This window comes from Homo sapiens, chromosome 1 (assembly GCF_000001405.40).
Source record: "Homo sapiens chromosome 1, GRCh38.p14 Primary Assembly".
NCBI lineage: Eukaryota > Metazoa > Chordata > Mammalia > Primates > Hominidae > Homo > Homo sapiens.
In genome coordinates this window covers 96794474-96808845 of record NC_000001.11, presented here as the reverse complement: position 1 = coordinate 96808845, position 14372 = coordinate 96794474, and the positions used below count along the sequence as shown (strand labels likewise).

Below are 14372 nucleotides of genomic sequence, written 5' to 3'. Positions count from 1 at the left end.
TTTGTGTGGGAGTGTATGCGTGTGTGTGTGTGTGTTTGTGTGTGTGTGTTTTAAAGGAAATGATGGTGTCAGTACATACTTTTATGGTCACACAGTTCAAGAAAGCAAAATCTACCTAGCAGCAATGAGAAATGATGAATTATTTACCACTACAGATAGTCCAAAAATTATAAGCCCTACTAGCAAGTCAAAACTTTAGTGACAATATCTTATAAAATTTGGGATAAATGATTTACAAATTTAAGTACTATTAACTGAATTGTGTCCTCCCCAAATTTATATGTTGAAGTCCTAACCCCCAATGTAACTGTACTTAAAAACAGGACCTTTAAGGAGGTAATTAAGGTTAAATGTGGTCATTAAGGGTAAAGCCCTGATTCAACAGGACTAGGATCCTTACAAGGGGAAGAGACTCTTAACGTGCTTGCACAGTGGAAAGGCCACATGAGGACACAGGGGGAAGATGGTTGGCTGCAAGCCAAGAGAGACCTCACCAGAAACAATCTGCTAGCAGTTTCATCTGGGACTTCTAGACCCCAAAGTTTTATTTCTCAAAACTTTGAAGAAATACATTTTTGTTGTTTCATCTACTCAGTCTATGGTATTTTGGTTACAGCAGCCCAAGCAGACTACGAGCATGGCAAAAAATTAAAATATTACATAAAACAGTCTTTACATAAAACAAAAACTATCTGGAAGATCTGAGGTAATTCTACCACAGGTAATTACCAACCATAAAGACTATGCATCCCTTATTTAAATGACACAATGCCACCCATACCTCAAACAATTAGGGAAAAAAATGACATATTTGAGAATACTCCTATTATGAAGTACTGTTAAGTGCTACTTACAACATATATGAAAACAACAGCAATGACTATTCCAACCAGAGTACAGAAGTGCACACAGAGAAAGAGGAAAATATGTACTAAGTATCTTGACATAATCAGCACTTTCGTATCTCTTTAAAACACATACCACCATTTTAAAAATGGACAGCCAGATGGATAGTTTTATACCTCATCTGAGTTGCTAAGACTATTGCCAAGAAACACTAAAATTCAAACCTATTATGTGTTTGAAATTCAAAATTTTCTATGTGATGTCAAAGGCCAAAATTGGTCTAATATAGCAAGTTGTTCATCTCTGAGCAAAAATACACTCGTCCTTACATCAAAAATGGCAAATTTACAAATTAACAATGTGAATACAATCAGTCTGAGGCACCATTATCCCTGAATCTCAATGAACAGAAATGTAAGAACATCCTGGCATTTACAGTCAATCACTGGTGTGAATGTGCAGGTGTGTTCTAGATTTATGTATTCGAGGATGTATGAAGTCAAACGACATAAGTTTAATTAAAATAATCAATTACTTATTTAAGTAATGATATAAAGTGTAACCTGACTAAAGTGCCTTTTAAGATTCCCAAAGGGATTAACAACAGTGTTTTTAGCACAAGCTTTTCATTTTCTAAGAACCTGGTATCGCAAGACTTTAGAAGAATTAAAATAACATGGCATTAAGAAGGATTCTATGGACTGTATGAACAGTTAGCCTCTATTAACAAGGAGTACCTAGAATAAAAATCACTATGAATCTTCAATATAAATGATATAATTCTCATGTGAAACTATTATTACAATTTTGAAGCTAAAATCTCTTCCTATTATGAGTGCATTTGAAAAACAGTAGGAGGATAGCAGAAAAATACAAATATGTTCGTCACATACAACTATTCACATTAAAATGACATTTTGAGCCCTGGCCATTAAAATAATTTCTTACTGATGTAAAGGAGTTTATTTTTATTCGCACATTCACATTATGCATTTGAAAGCAGAAGTGAAGATGTATAGATAAAACATAGTTTAATCTTACCAAGTTGTGATTGGTTTCCATCAGCCATCTGTATTAGAGCGCTGTCTTTCTTATTGTATAAAATCTTCACACGCTGCACATCTCCATAAACACCTTTTTTGGAGCCACAGAGAGGTAATCCAAAAATGGAATTAATTTTATGTGGAAGTCACCTAAAGATTATCTTTCTGACATATCAATGAAACATTCAGACATCAACATGATCACTCAATCTCATCATTCTCACAAATGAATAAAGAAGATCAAGATTTTGAACAGTGAATTTTGAAAAGAATAATTTTTGATAAACCCTCAAAGCTATGTGAATGATATTAAATTAAAGACCATGCAAAATAAATTAGCATGCATTAAAACAAATTTTGTGTCTATGGAGAGTTTTAAATAGCAAAGAAAAATAGCAAAAGATTTACTATTCAACTTTAAGCCAAAGTGCTAGCTACAAATAAGAATTAAGGTGAAACAAAAATCAAATCAATAATAAAAGTATAGTGCTAACAATAACATACCGAAGAGGGTAAACAGACTTTGGGGCGTAACCATCTTTAGAAGGAGAGAAGAGCAAGCAGCGTAAGACAAGAAGAGAGAAGAGTCGAGGAAGAGCGGAGATGAACAGATCATCCATAACGAAGGGTGGTTCCCGCAGAATGGTGAGGTGGTCATGGATCATGGTTCAAGGCGGTTAATTGGGGCAAGTTGGTCCGAGGAACATTTGTTCAAGCACAGAAGCATGAACATAGGGAATGGAGACAGGGAATGAAGACAAGGACAAGGAAAATAAAGGATAAGACAGGGAAGGGAATGGGCATTTGGGAAAAGACAAGGAAAGGGAAGGTGAACACACAGGGAAAAGGATGAAATGGGGAAGGGAAACAGCAATGCAGAAGAAAAAAATAAGGAATTGGGGAACAAAAACAAAATAAAATATAGGTCAGTACATAGGAAATGCAGGAATTTGGTCAGAAAATGGTTGGTTTATGTACTGTACAAGAAAAACTGAGTAAAATGTAGTCATCCAAGACAAATATGGGTAAAGTACATCTATATCAAAGAGTAAATTACAGCATTTCATCTCAACATAGGGAAGGAAAGCATGCATAGGAATTTTAAACTTTGAACTTTAACTGCATAAGCATGGCTGGTTATGAAATGCAGGCAAAAGTCTTAAAATAAAAACAAAGGCACTCTGATTCAAACATTTTAGCATGCAGAACTGTGAATGATAATAGTATTAAATGGATAAAATAAGCTAATGTTCATATTAACAGAGGCCAATTAAAAATGAAACAAATATTCAAATTAGACATCATAAACTGATACACTGAGCTTCCCACATTTCATACCAGCTTTCATAGCATTCAAAATAAAATATACCAGACATAAAATGTACAACTAAAGAAAATAACTTAGCAATAAATTTTATTTAACTGGGTGGAGGGGGTGGTAAGGAAGGAAGGGGTGGGGGAATAAAGTTAAAAAATATTTTTAGAAGACAATGACTAATAACTGCAAAGAAAAAATTACTAAGAAAGACGGGAAGAGTGCCTCGTCAAGATCTTTGGAAGAACCTTCAAAGAAAAATGTATTAGAGTAGTTCACATAAAATAAGATTTAAAAAAAATGCAATGACATATAAGCATGAAATGAACAAGCAAATAATTAGAAAAGGCAAAGAGCAAAATTGTTTTACAGTTAAATTTGCAAATTAGATCACATTTGCCTTTGAGAACAACAAAAAGATAAGCCAAACTACAGTACTTCACCATATTTTTCTTAGGAAAAATAGGTTAGGTTAAAAAATATACATATATAGATATAGATATAAAGAGACATGACTGTTTAAGGAAATAAAGTATTACCTAAACAATATGTAGATTTTATTCAGAAGTAGAAACATACAGAAAATACTTTGACTAATGAATGTACATAAAAAGAAAGGCAAGTGCAAAATGAAATAAACATGAAAAACTTTCACAAATGAAATGGAGTTAAAGAATAAACATTAGAGATTATTTTACTAACCTCTTCATTTAAATTGCTAACCAACAGGACTGTATTGCCACCAGCTGAGACTCCAGGCATACCCACTCGGCCAGCAGCAGCTGCAGCAGCTGCTGCAGCAGCATTTGGAATGGCCAAAGGACTCAGAGCTCCTGGAACAGCTGCAACAGGAAGCCCTAATTTTAAAATAAAGCATATTTTACGAAACACACACAAGTCGTTTACAAAAACCAATTTAAGCACGATGGCTGCATGGCTTACGGCTGACCATTCCAAATGGTTCCTGAAAGTTAATTTTTATAGTGTTTAGAAAAATTGTTTGCTGATGTGTAGTAAAGAAAAATAATTGATTTCAACAAAACCATTAATTATTTGAACTAAAGTACATACCTGTATTATGTTAAAATATCAAATATATAATACTCTATTTCCTCTGGAAAAGCAAACAAAGCATGAAAAATATAATTCCAAGTCACAGGCTTGGAAAATTCACTTCCACGATTTACAGTAAAAGGCCAAATGTAAAAAAGTATCACTTTCGACATAATGGTAATTCACTTTTTTCCGCAAGTGCTATCTTCTTCATAAACTCACACTTGAAATCAAATAATTACAGCTTATGAAACAAAGGTAGTAGTCTTTCAGCTCCTAGAGACAAATCACTCTGAACATCATTATTTAATTCATGCAAATAAAGAAAATCTTAGCAAAATGTGCTTGCCTTCTTAATTATACACTCAAGTAATTAAAATGAATACAAGTTCCTTCAACACAACACTCTCCCGGTTGAAAGAACAAGAAACCATCACTATACAACACAGATTTTGTTTCAGTATTTTCCTATCCTTTCCCAATCTATGTTATCATTTCCTTCTTATTTTATTGTTCTAATTTCCAGTCTTATTGCTGTCCTACTATCTTTAAGTCACCATATTTTCATTTATTCTAGACAGAATTCCCTTTTGTGTTAGCACCGTTCATCTACTTTTCAATTACCAATCAACTTGGAATATTTTCATCCCTTAAATTCTTACACACCCAGCTTATTTCTCATAAATACTGGTTCACTCAAGAAACGAATTATATGTTCTTTTTTATCTTCCCAACATAAAGGAACAAACACCCAAACTAAATGAATTTGATTTCATAACATACCTGGGTAGAACAGGCCCTTAGCACTCTTGTTCCATAAGTTCACATTTTATTTCTTCTTTCTTTCCAGCTTTCTGGTGCATTTCATAAGAATCTGCTGTTACCTTTGGTTTTAGAGATCTTACTCTTTTAAGTCAAGTTTTTGATCTTTTGACTTTATAGAAACTACTATGACCTTTCATTGGCAATCTGAAGCGCTCTTTAATATTCACAAACCTTAACCTAAGTTTTTGACTTATAAAACTTTCCCCTCCATCTCTTTTTAATTCAGCCTTTATCTCTTCTGAGAACTCTGTCAGTGGCATATGTTTCTCATTTAATACTCTTGCTCTTGATGAGTTTCTTTTCACACCTTTTTGCCTGTACCTTTTTTTTTAGGCTCTCCTTTTTTTCTTACTTTGCTCCCTTTTTTTTATGGCTATACATTTTGTTTTGGAAGATTTCCAACATATACAAAAGTAAAAGTGACTAAAATAATGCAACTCTAAGTAGCCATCACCCAACTTTAACAATGATCAACTCATGGCCAATCTCGTTTCATCCCCTTTTATTCTTAAAGTAAATCTCAGAAATTAGGGTCCAATTTTAAAATTAAGAATTCTCATGTTTAATACTTACTAATGCACAATAGTCTTCAGTGTGTCTTTGAATACACCAATGTGGATCTTTTCAACCAAATATTCTACTATATTACTAACTTTTCCATGTTAAATACTATACCTCTCACTATCCTCCCCATAAGTTGTTCTCATTTAACATTCAATGGATACGTTCACTTGTTGTCAAGTATACATTCCTAATTCCTAGGCAAACATTCCTACACACAACAATTTTTTTTCTTGCAGTCTTGAGAAGTGACCTCCCCATATTGTAATACTATTCGTCAGTATTTTCAGATAGCTCTGACTGAATGCACAGAATATTTGACTAAAGTTGACAATACAATTATTTATTAGTAGCAGAAACTCCAGATGTAGTCATTATATTGTTACATCATTCTATTTTCCTGCCTTTAGTTAGCTACCTTTTAGGAAAAACAGTATCTTAAAAATTCTATTAAATTCCATAGTCTGTATGAGATCCCACTGATGGCAAACAAACAAAAAACCACCAACTTCAATATGGCATGCAGAAGAAGTTCAGTACCAAGCCTCAAATTCCCTTTTTAACAATAAAGTCTGTTTTCAAAAAGTCCATCAAAGATATTTGGACTAGATCTTTGCCACAATAAAAAAATTAAATCACTTTAATTTCTGGTTTCACTTTTAATTCTAACAGGAAGAAGTAATTCTAAGGGCCCACTAAGCCAAAAAATCTTAACTGAGGAATTATAATTAGTTACCAAAATTAAAATAATCTAAAAACTCTAATCACTAGCATTTTCTCTGTACATCTCTTGACTCTTATAACCATCTACTGTTCATTAAAATACTCTGTATCTCCTGCTTATTTAACTATAATTGTCTTCAACTTTGTATCCCACAGTGAAAAAGTTCTCAAACTTTTTGGTCTCAGCTCCCCTTTATAGTCTTAAAACTATGGAGAATCACAAGGAGTTTTTGTTAATGTGGGTTCTTTTTTTTTTTTTTTTTTTTTTCGAGACGGAGTCTCGCTGTGTCTCTCAGGTTGGAGTGCAGTGGCGTGATCTCGGCTCACTGCAAGCTCCGCCTCCCAGGTTCATGCCATTCTCCTGCCTCAGCCTCCCAAGTAGCTGGGACTACAGGCGCCCGCCAACACGCCCGGCTAATTTTTTGTATTTTTAGTAGAAACGGGGTTTCACCGTGTTAGCCAAGATGGTCTTGATCTCCTGACCTCGTGATCCACCCGTCTCGGCCTCCCAAAGTGCTAGGATTACAGGCATGAGCCACCGCGCCCGGCCTAATGTGGGTTCTATTAATGGTTGTCATTTCCAAAATTAAAACCAATAACTTTTTTTTTTTTTTTTTTGAGATGGAGTCTTGCTCTTGTCCCCCAGGCTGGAGTGTAATGGCGAGATTTTGGCTCACTGCAACCTCCACCTCCCAGCTTCAAGTGATTCTCCTGCCTCAGCATCTCGAGTAGCTGAGACTACAGGCACCCACTACCATGCCTGGCTAATTTTTGTATTTTTAGTAGAGATGGGGTTTCACCATGTTGGCCAGGCTGGTTTTGGTCTTGAACTCCTGACCTCAGGTGATCCACCTGCCTCAGCCTCCCAAAGTGCTGGGATTACAGGTCTGAGCCACTGCGCCTGGCCAAAACCACGAACTTTTTAAAGCACATAAACACACATACTATTAGCCTTCAGTTACCACTGTATGCTATTAAGAGAAAAAGTAAAAAGAGGCAAAATACACTTTAGTATTACCGTGAAAAGTAATACTAAACTTTGTGGGCCCCCTATGAAGATCTCAGGAACTCTCACAAATCTCTGGACATTTGTAAAATGCTACCAAATATTCACATGCTTTATACATATGGAGTGCTCAAAAATTACTAAGGAATTTAAAAAGATACATTTACTCACTTCAAATAAAAGAAAATGCTGTAATATATGACACATGTTTTTTAAAAGAATGCTGAGTTAATTGACACTCCCAAACTTTAAGCTCTCAGTCATCTCCTACTCATTTTTCCCTCCTGAAATCTCAGGAAAAAGTATAAATTCATAAAATATATAAAAAATTATCAATCTATTTAAATACAGTATTGATCTAAACATACCAGCCTAAGGTTAATACTTTATTTTTATGAAAAACTGCTTCATATCTTGAGATACAACCCTACCGTGCCACTATACATTTTAACAATCTAATGAAAATTACTTACCAAAAAAATTTAAAGATGGTTAAAAACATGTTTAAAAGAATTTTAAATATTTAAGACATAATTGTTTTCAAAATACATTTTTTTTTTCTTGAAATCTGGGTTTTCCAGTAGAGATAACTTGGTGGTATAATACTGTTTAGAACATCAAGCCTTTTCATGGAAAAATAGTAATTGAGAATTAAAGTAATTAGTTAATAATTAAAATAAATTTATAATGGTAATTGAGAATTAAAAGCCTAGGCTAAAGCTTCCCCACCCTTTATTTTTTGAGACAAGGTTTGCTCTGTCACCCAGGCTAGAGTGCAGTGGCATGATCATGGCTCACTGCTGTTTCTATCTTCTGGGCTCAGGCAATCCTCCCACCTCAGCCTACTAAGTAGCTGGGACTACAGGCACATGCCACCAGGCATGGCTAATTTTTTTTATTTTTAGTAGAGACTGAGATCTCACTATGTTGCTCAGGCTGGTCTCAAACTCCTGGCCTCCAGCAATCCTCCCACCTTGACCTGTCAAAGTGCTGGGATTACAGGTGTGAGCCACAACACCTGGTCTAAAGCCCTTTTTAGTGTGACAGATCTGAAACATTAAAAAAAAAAAAAAAAAAAGCCAGAGAATGCTACCTTTTACTAAATAATCTTGTACTTTAGTAAAAATAAGACTACCAATCTTCTAGACAGAAAAATTTGGGCTCGAAATAGATGAATTTACCTCTTTCTAAGGAGGTAATAAAAATCTTACCAAAAAAGGGAATACAAGGTGTGAGGTCCCCACTGTCTGAATGCTAATTCAGTGTCCTCACCTGTCGATTTACTTCCACCATTCCGGACCACCCTGTCAGATAATCTATTATGTCCAATGATCCTTCCTTTTACACAGTTCACAGTATGGTGTAAGAATGCTTTAATAGGTAAAAGAAGCCACCACCTGTCCTTAATGCCACTCGTATGTATTTCTCTTTCATTATTTCCTCCCCGCGGCTGATAACTTAGAAAAACTACTTAGGCTATCTTTACACCGTTCTAAATCACTGGAGTAGTCTAAGATTTTCCTGGACTTTTAAAGCCTCTGAAGATTCTCCAATTTCCCTCAATATACTTTTGTCTGAAAAACTACTTTGTCAATCAGGTATTTTTAGGTTTAATCTAAATGCTGTCTGCTGCAATAAAAATATAAAAACCTACAAAATATTTCATGATGCACTATTTATATAATTAATACATTCTAGAAAATAGTTCTGTTCTTAACTCCCAGCTAAATGAGAAAACAATAAACTTACCAAGGGCCCTTTGAGAAAGTTATAGAAAGCATATTACACATATTGTATACACTGGCTCTAACAGATTACTTTTAGCTACATAAATTATAATTTTAACTTTAATGATTTGCATCTTTAGCTAAGGCAGCAGATATGTGAGGAAAAAACTGTTTACACATGTTGATGAGAGGGATAAAAATACTTGATCTATCACAAGGTCAGGAGATCGAGACCATCCTGGCTAACACGATGAAACCCCATCTCTACTAAACATACAAAAAAATTAGCTGGGCGTGGTGGCAGGCACCTGTAGTAGCAGCTACTCGGGAGGCTGAGGCAGAAGAATGGCACGAACCCGGGAGGCCGAGTTTGCAGTGAGCCGAGATCGCACCATTGCACTCCAGCCTGGGCGACAGAGCAAGACTCCATCTCAAAAAAAAAAAAAAAAAAAGCTTGATCTATTCTGAGGATTGCTATAAAGATAAAACAATGTAAAAGAGCTTCATAAACGATCATGTGCTAAAGAAAAGAAGGTGTTGCAGGAATCTTTTTCATGTGAAATGGCCCTCATCAGCTGGGTCACCCAGACATTTTGAGTGACTCAGTAATCTCCTAAAATTCTCATGTTAGTTCTGACACTATTATTCCTAACCTTTCCTCCACTGAAGCTGATGGATGCCCAGTCATGTATATGACAAGAGACCCTAAGTCCAGAGAGAAGTGATATAAATTATGTATCTATTCTTTTCCTTTCAGATATTACACTGAAACACACAGGTATCCCTAACCTTGCTCATTTCAACTGAAGAATTAAACTGGTTTTGTTAATTAAATCATTTAGAAATTGTATCTATAATTTTTAGCTATTTTAAAAGGTTTAGATTTACAAACAAATTTAAGACATTACAGAGTTCTTATATAACCTGGAAACCGCAGTTCCCCCATTATTAGCATCATACATTAGTATGGTATTACAATTTATTAGTTCTTGCAATTAATCAACCAATATCGATAAATCAACAAAAGTCCATTATCAGATTTCCTCAAATTGCATCTAATGTCCCTTTTTTGTTGTTCCAGTATCTCCTATTACATTTAATCATCTTGTCTCCTTAGGTTCCCCTTACTTTTGAGAGTTTACTCTATGATTTTGAACAATGTCAAATTTATCCCTCCATCTGCCATTCTAAAAGTTCCATCCAAAGTAATTTATGATTTCTTTTGGTCTTACTTCTTTTCCCTGTTCATAACATCTCGTAGTTATTAGTCTTGTGTACTACTGAACAGAAGAGCATTAGTGGTGGGACTCTAAAGCCCTTTCTAATTCTTTTTGTATTTTTGAGATGGAGTTTCACTCTGTCACACAGGCTGGAGTGCAATGGCATGATCTCAGCTCACTGCAACCTCCACCTCCTGGGTTCAAGCAATTCTCCTGACTCAGCCTCCTGAGTAGCTAAGATTACAGGCGCCCACCACCACACCTGGCTAATATTTGTATTTTTAGTAGAGACAGTGTTTCACCATGTTGGCCAGGCTGGTTTTGAACTCATGATCTCAAGTGATATGCCCACCTTAGCCTCCCAAAGTGCTGGGATTACAGGCATGACTGGGATTATAGGCATGAGACACCACGCCTGACAGCCCCTTCTAATTTTTTTTTTTTTTTTTTAGAGACAGAGTCTCGCTCTGTCGCCCAGGCTGGAGTGCAGTGGCACGATCTCGGCTCACTGCAAGCTCCACCTCCCGGGTTCACGCCTTTCTCCTGCGTCAGCCTCCCGAGTAGCTGGGACTACAGGCACCCACCACCACACCCAGCTAATTCTAATTCTTAAAGTATAGTCAGCCCTCTGTATCTCTGGGTTCCGATTCAACCAACCTTGGATCAAAAATATTTGGGGGTAAAACAATGGTGTACTGCAAATGTATAGAAAGTTGTTCTTGTCATTATTCCCTAAACAATACACTATAACAACCATTTACATAACATTTATATTGTACTGGGTAATATAAGTAATCTAGAGATGATTTAAAGTACACATAAGAGGTTGTGTATAGGTCACATGCAAACACTATACCATTTTATGCAAGGAACTTGAGCATCAGTGGATTTGAGTATCCAGGGGGTGTATGGGGTCAGAGGGTGGGGGATGGGACTGTGTGTGTCCTAGAACCAATCTCCCATGTATACCACCAAGGGGTCTGGAAGGCACATTTTACATTTCCTGATTTGAAAATAAAAATTTTACTTTTCATAAGGATGACAACTGCTATTCTTTCTTGAAACAATTCAATCCTCTTCCTCTTCCACCAACCTTCCCTTGAGTTCTTATTTTGCCCTATGGAATCCATTCTCTTCTACCACTAACAACTACACTTTTATTCTACCTGTTCCTCAGATTAACTTTTTAATTAAAAACTTACTTTTCTTCTAATGAAACTTCTACAATTCCCTCAAAAAGTCATTTTTGGTCTCCCTCAACTTTTCTCCAAAGGTAAGAATAAGGATGCATCATGTGCCACTCTACCTCACCGCACAATGTTACTTTCAAACTGCTGTTCCACCACCATCAATGAGGATGGCTTCCGATGTCAATGCCACCCAATCATACCACACTCTTTCCCATCAAAATAGCCATTGGATTACTGGAACATCTCCTCCCATTACATAAAGACTTCAGCACCTGGCTTTATTTCCCTCTTCTCCATTCCCTGCATCATCCTATGACTTTTCCAAGACTCTGGTCTCATGATTTCTTAAAAACATCTACTTTGCCATCCATATTAGCAACTTCTTTTGATACATCTTCATTTTTCTTTCCTCTGTCTCTTTTTGTAATGGTCATTCAACACTTATATCTCCTTTCCTAACTTCATTCTTTTCTTGATCTGCCTATTCCCACACAACCACTAAACCCACTTTTGACCTTTATGGTGACCCCCTTTCTATTCTCCCTTGACTTGACTTTACCATAGAGTCAAGCTTAGGCTCAAGCTTAGGCTTGAGCCAACACTCTGCTCATTTGCTACTATTCCTTTAATGTTACACAATTCCAGACTTAGATAAATCCAGTCTTACATTCTGTCTATGCTTTCATCTGGGCTTGACAAATACTAGAGTGAAAACACACACACCCCACAAATGCTAATTCTAGAAATATTTTGTTATCCACTTTTAGCTGAATTTCCAGTCCATTTTTGAGAGTTTCCCCAAATCTAGTAGAGTCTTATGTCTACTTTCCTACTTTCAACTTGTTAAACAAGTGCCTTATAATTTTTAGATCAGAATTCAATCAAATCTTTCAACCAACTTCAAAATCCTCACTTCTTTCATCTGTTCTTCTTTCTCCCTTGCTTCATAAAGACATATAATGGTGACAGGAAAGAATAATGACTGTAACACTGATGATTTCGGTTCTGCTTCCAGCTCTGCACCTACTTCTTTTTTTTTTTTTTTTGGTGGAGACGGGGTCTTAATATGTTGCCCAGGCTGGTCTCAAAATGTTGGCCTCAAGCAGTTCTTCTGCCTCAGCCTTCCCAAGTGCTGGGATTGCAGGTGTGAGCCACCATGCCCAGCCAATGCACCTACATTTCTGTGTGAACTTGGTAAAAAATCTCTTCTGGTTCTAACAATGGTCCTAAAAAGCATCTCTATATTTAAATATTTAAATCCCAACATGTCCACTATACTCCTGATCTAATCCTTGCAATCAATTCTAGGACTTAAATTAGCCTTAGAAACAAATACTAGTTAATAGGTAGCAAGCATTTATTATATACCAGGCACTGTGTAAAGTTATTTGCACATTAACACATTTAATCCTCACAACAGCCTTAAATGAAAGGGATTATTATCATTATGTCCATTACAAACATGGAACCTGAGAGGACTCCAAACCCATGTTTTAAATGATTATACATACTGCCTCACTGCAAACACTCCCCCCACTGGGTCCTGCTTTACTTCTGATCTACCATCCTATTTCTTCTTCCTTTCTATGGCAAACTTCCTCAAAGAGTACAGTGCATACTTTCTTATCACGTTTATATCCTTAATTCCTTGTAATTTGATTTATATACTCTTGTGAATAACAGTACGTAACTACTGTACTGAATGATCACTACTAATTTTAATCCTATTTGATCCCTAGATTTCTTGTTTATCTTATCTATAACATAAATATGCACTGCTTAAAGTTTAATTACAATGCTTTAATCCTCTTGCTTTCTTATACCTGGGAAATCTTGAACCAAAATTTTAAATATCACATCTCTGGCCTCTGAATTCACAACTCCACAGAACTCTTACCCAAGTCTTAGGCTGAATTTCCTACTGTCCAGTGGACTCCTCCACATGCTTCATTTTTCTCATAATCAATCACATCAGTAAGATGCCAAGTCCTATTACTTTTACATATAATTTTCCCCATATTTGTTTCTTACTTTGCATTCTCATTTTACGTTCCTAGCTTAGATTTATAATTACATCTTAATTAGACTAATAGTCTCCCACCTGTTATTCCTAGTCTCCATTTTCACTTCTCCAACATACTCTGGAGCCACAGTCAGTTTCTTAAAACTAAATTGGTCATTTTTACCCAACTGCCTAAAAATAGTTGATGAATCCTTCACAGCAGTGGTTCTTAACTCATCCCCCGCTTTCATAACCTGAAAAAAGCCAAACATCTAAAACTTGGTACATAATATCATCAAATGGTCGCAGACACTCTGATGCTCATCTTCCAGTCATAAAGGAGTTTAAGAATTCCCATATTAAATTCATACTCCCTGGGTAACACTGGTTTTAAGATCTTGTCCCATAATACTTTCTGGCATCATAGCCTTTCATATTTTTTCAATTATCCTATTCGTCACACATAACTGAATGTTCATCACACCTAAAACATGACATATACTCTATCACATTTAATCATGCTGTTTTTGGCCCATAAAACCCTCCCAATTTCTCCTTTTGTTGATGGATCACTCATTTATGTGCTGATAACCACACTAACTCCACTATATATTTCAGTTTGCCTCCAATTAGATCTAACTCATATGTTTTCTGTCTCTGATAAGCTTCATGAGAACAGAAACCCTGTTACTCTTCTGAATCTCTAAAGTGTCTAGCATAGTGTTAAAATGACTGCTGAATAATACAATAAAGAATAAACCAGGATGACACTGAAATGAGCCAACATCCTTCTAGGGCTATGAAATGTTCATGGCAATTAATTGAGGGTAGCCTTTTAGAGCTGCTAGTGAAAATCTTCTG

The 14372-nt window shown here is 35.8% G+C and overlaps 1 protein-coding gene across 16 annotated transcripts in view; it reads right to left on the bottom strand.

The window, feature by feature from the left end:
• Positions 1 to 14372, bottom strand: part of PTBP2 (polypyrimidine tract binding protein 2) — a 101956-nt gene that overhangs the window by 14894 nt on the left and 72690 nt on the right. For 7 of the 16 annotated variants that reach the window (XM_011541876.3, NM_001300987.2, NM_001300985.2 and 4 more), the window contains 3 exons: positions 3907 to 4061; positions 2394 to 2427; positions 1888 to 1980 (listed from right to left, as the gene is read on the bottom strand). In XM_011541876.3, coding sequence (XP_011540178.1) covers positions 1888 to 1980; positions 2394 to 2427; positions 3907 to 4061 — 282 coding nt within the window. Of the gene's footprint in view, positions 1 to 1887; positions 1981 to 2393; positions 2428 to 3906; positions 4062 to 14372 lie in introns of those variants that run through there. The other 9 variants (NM_001300986.2, NM_001300989.2, NM_001300990.2 and 6 more) reach the window with 4 other exon arrangements.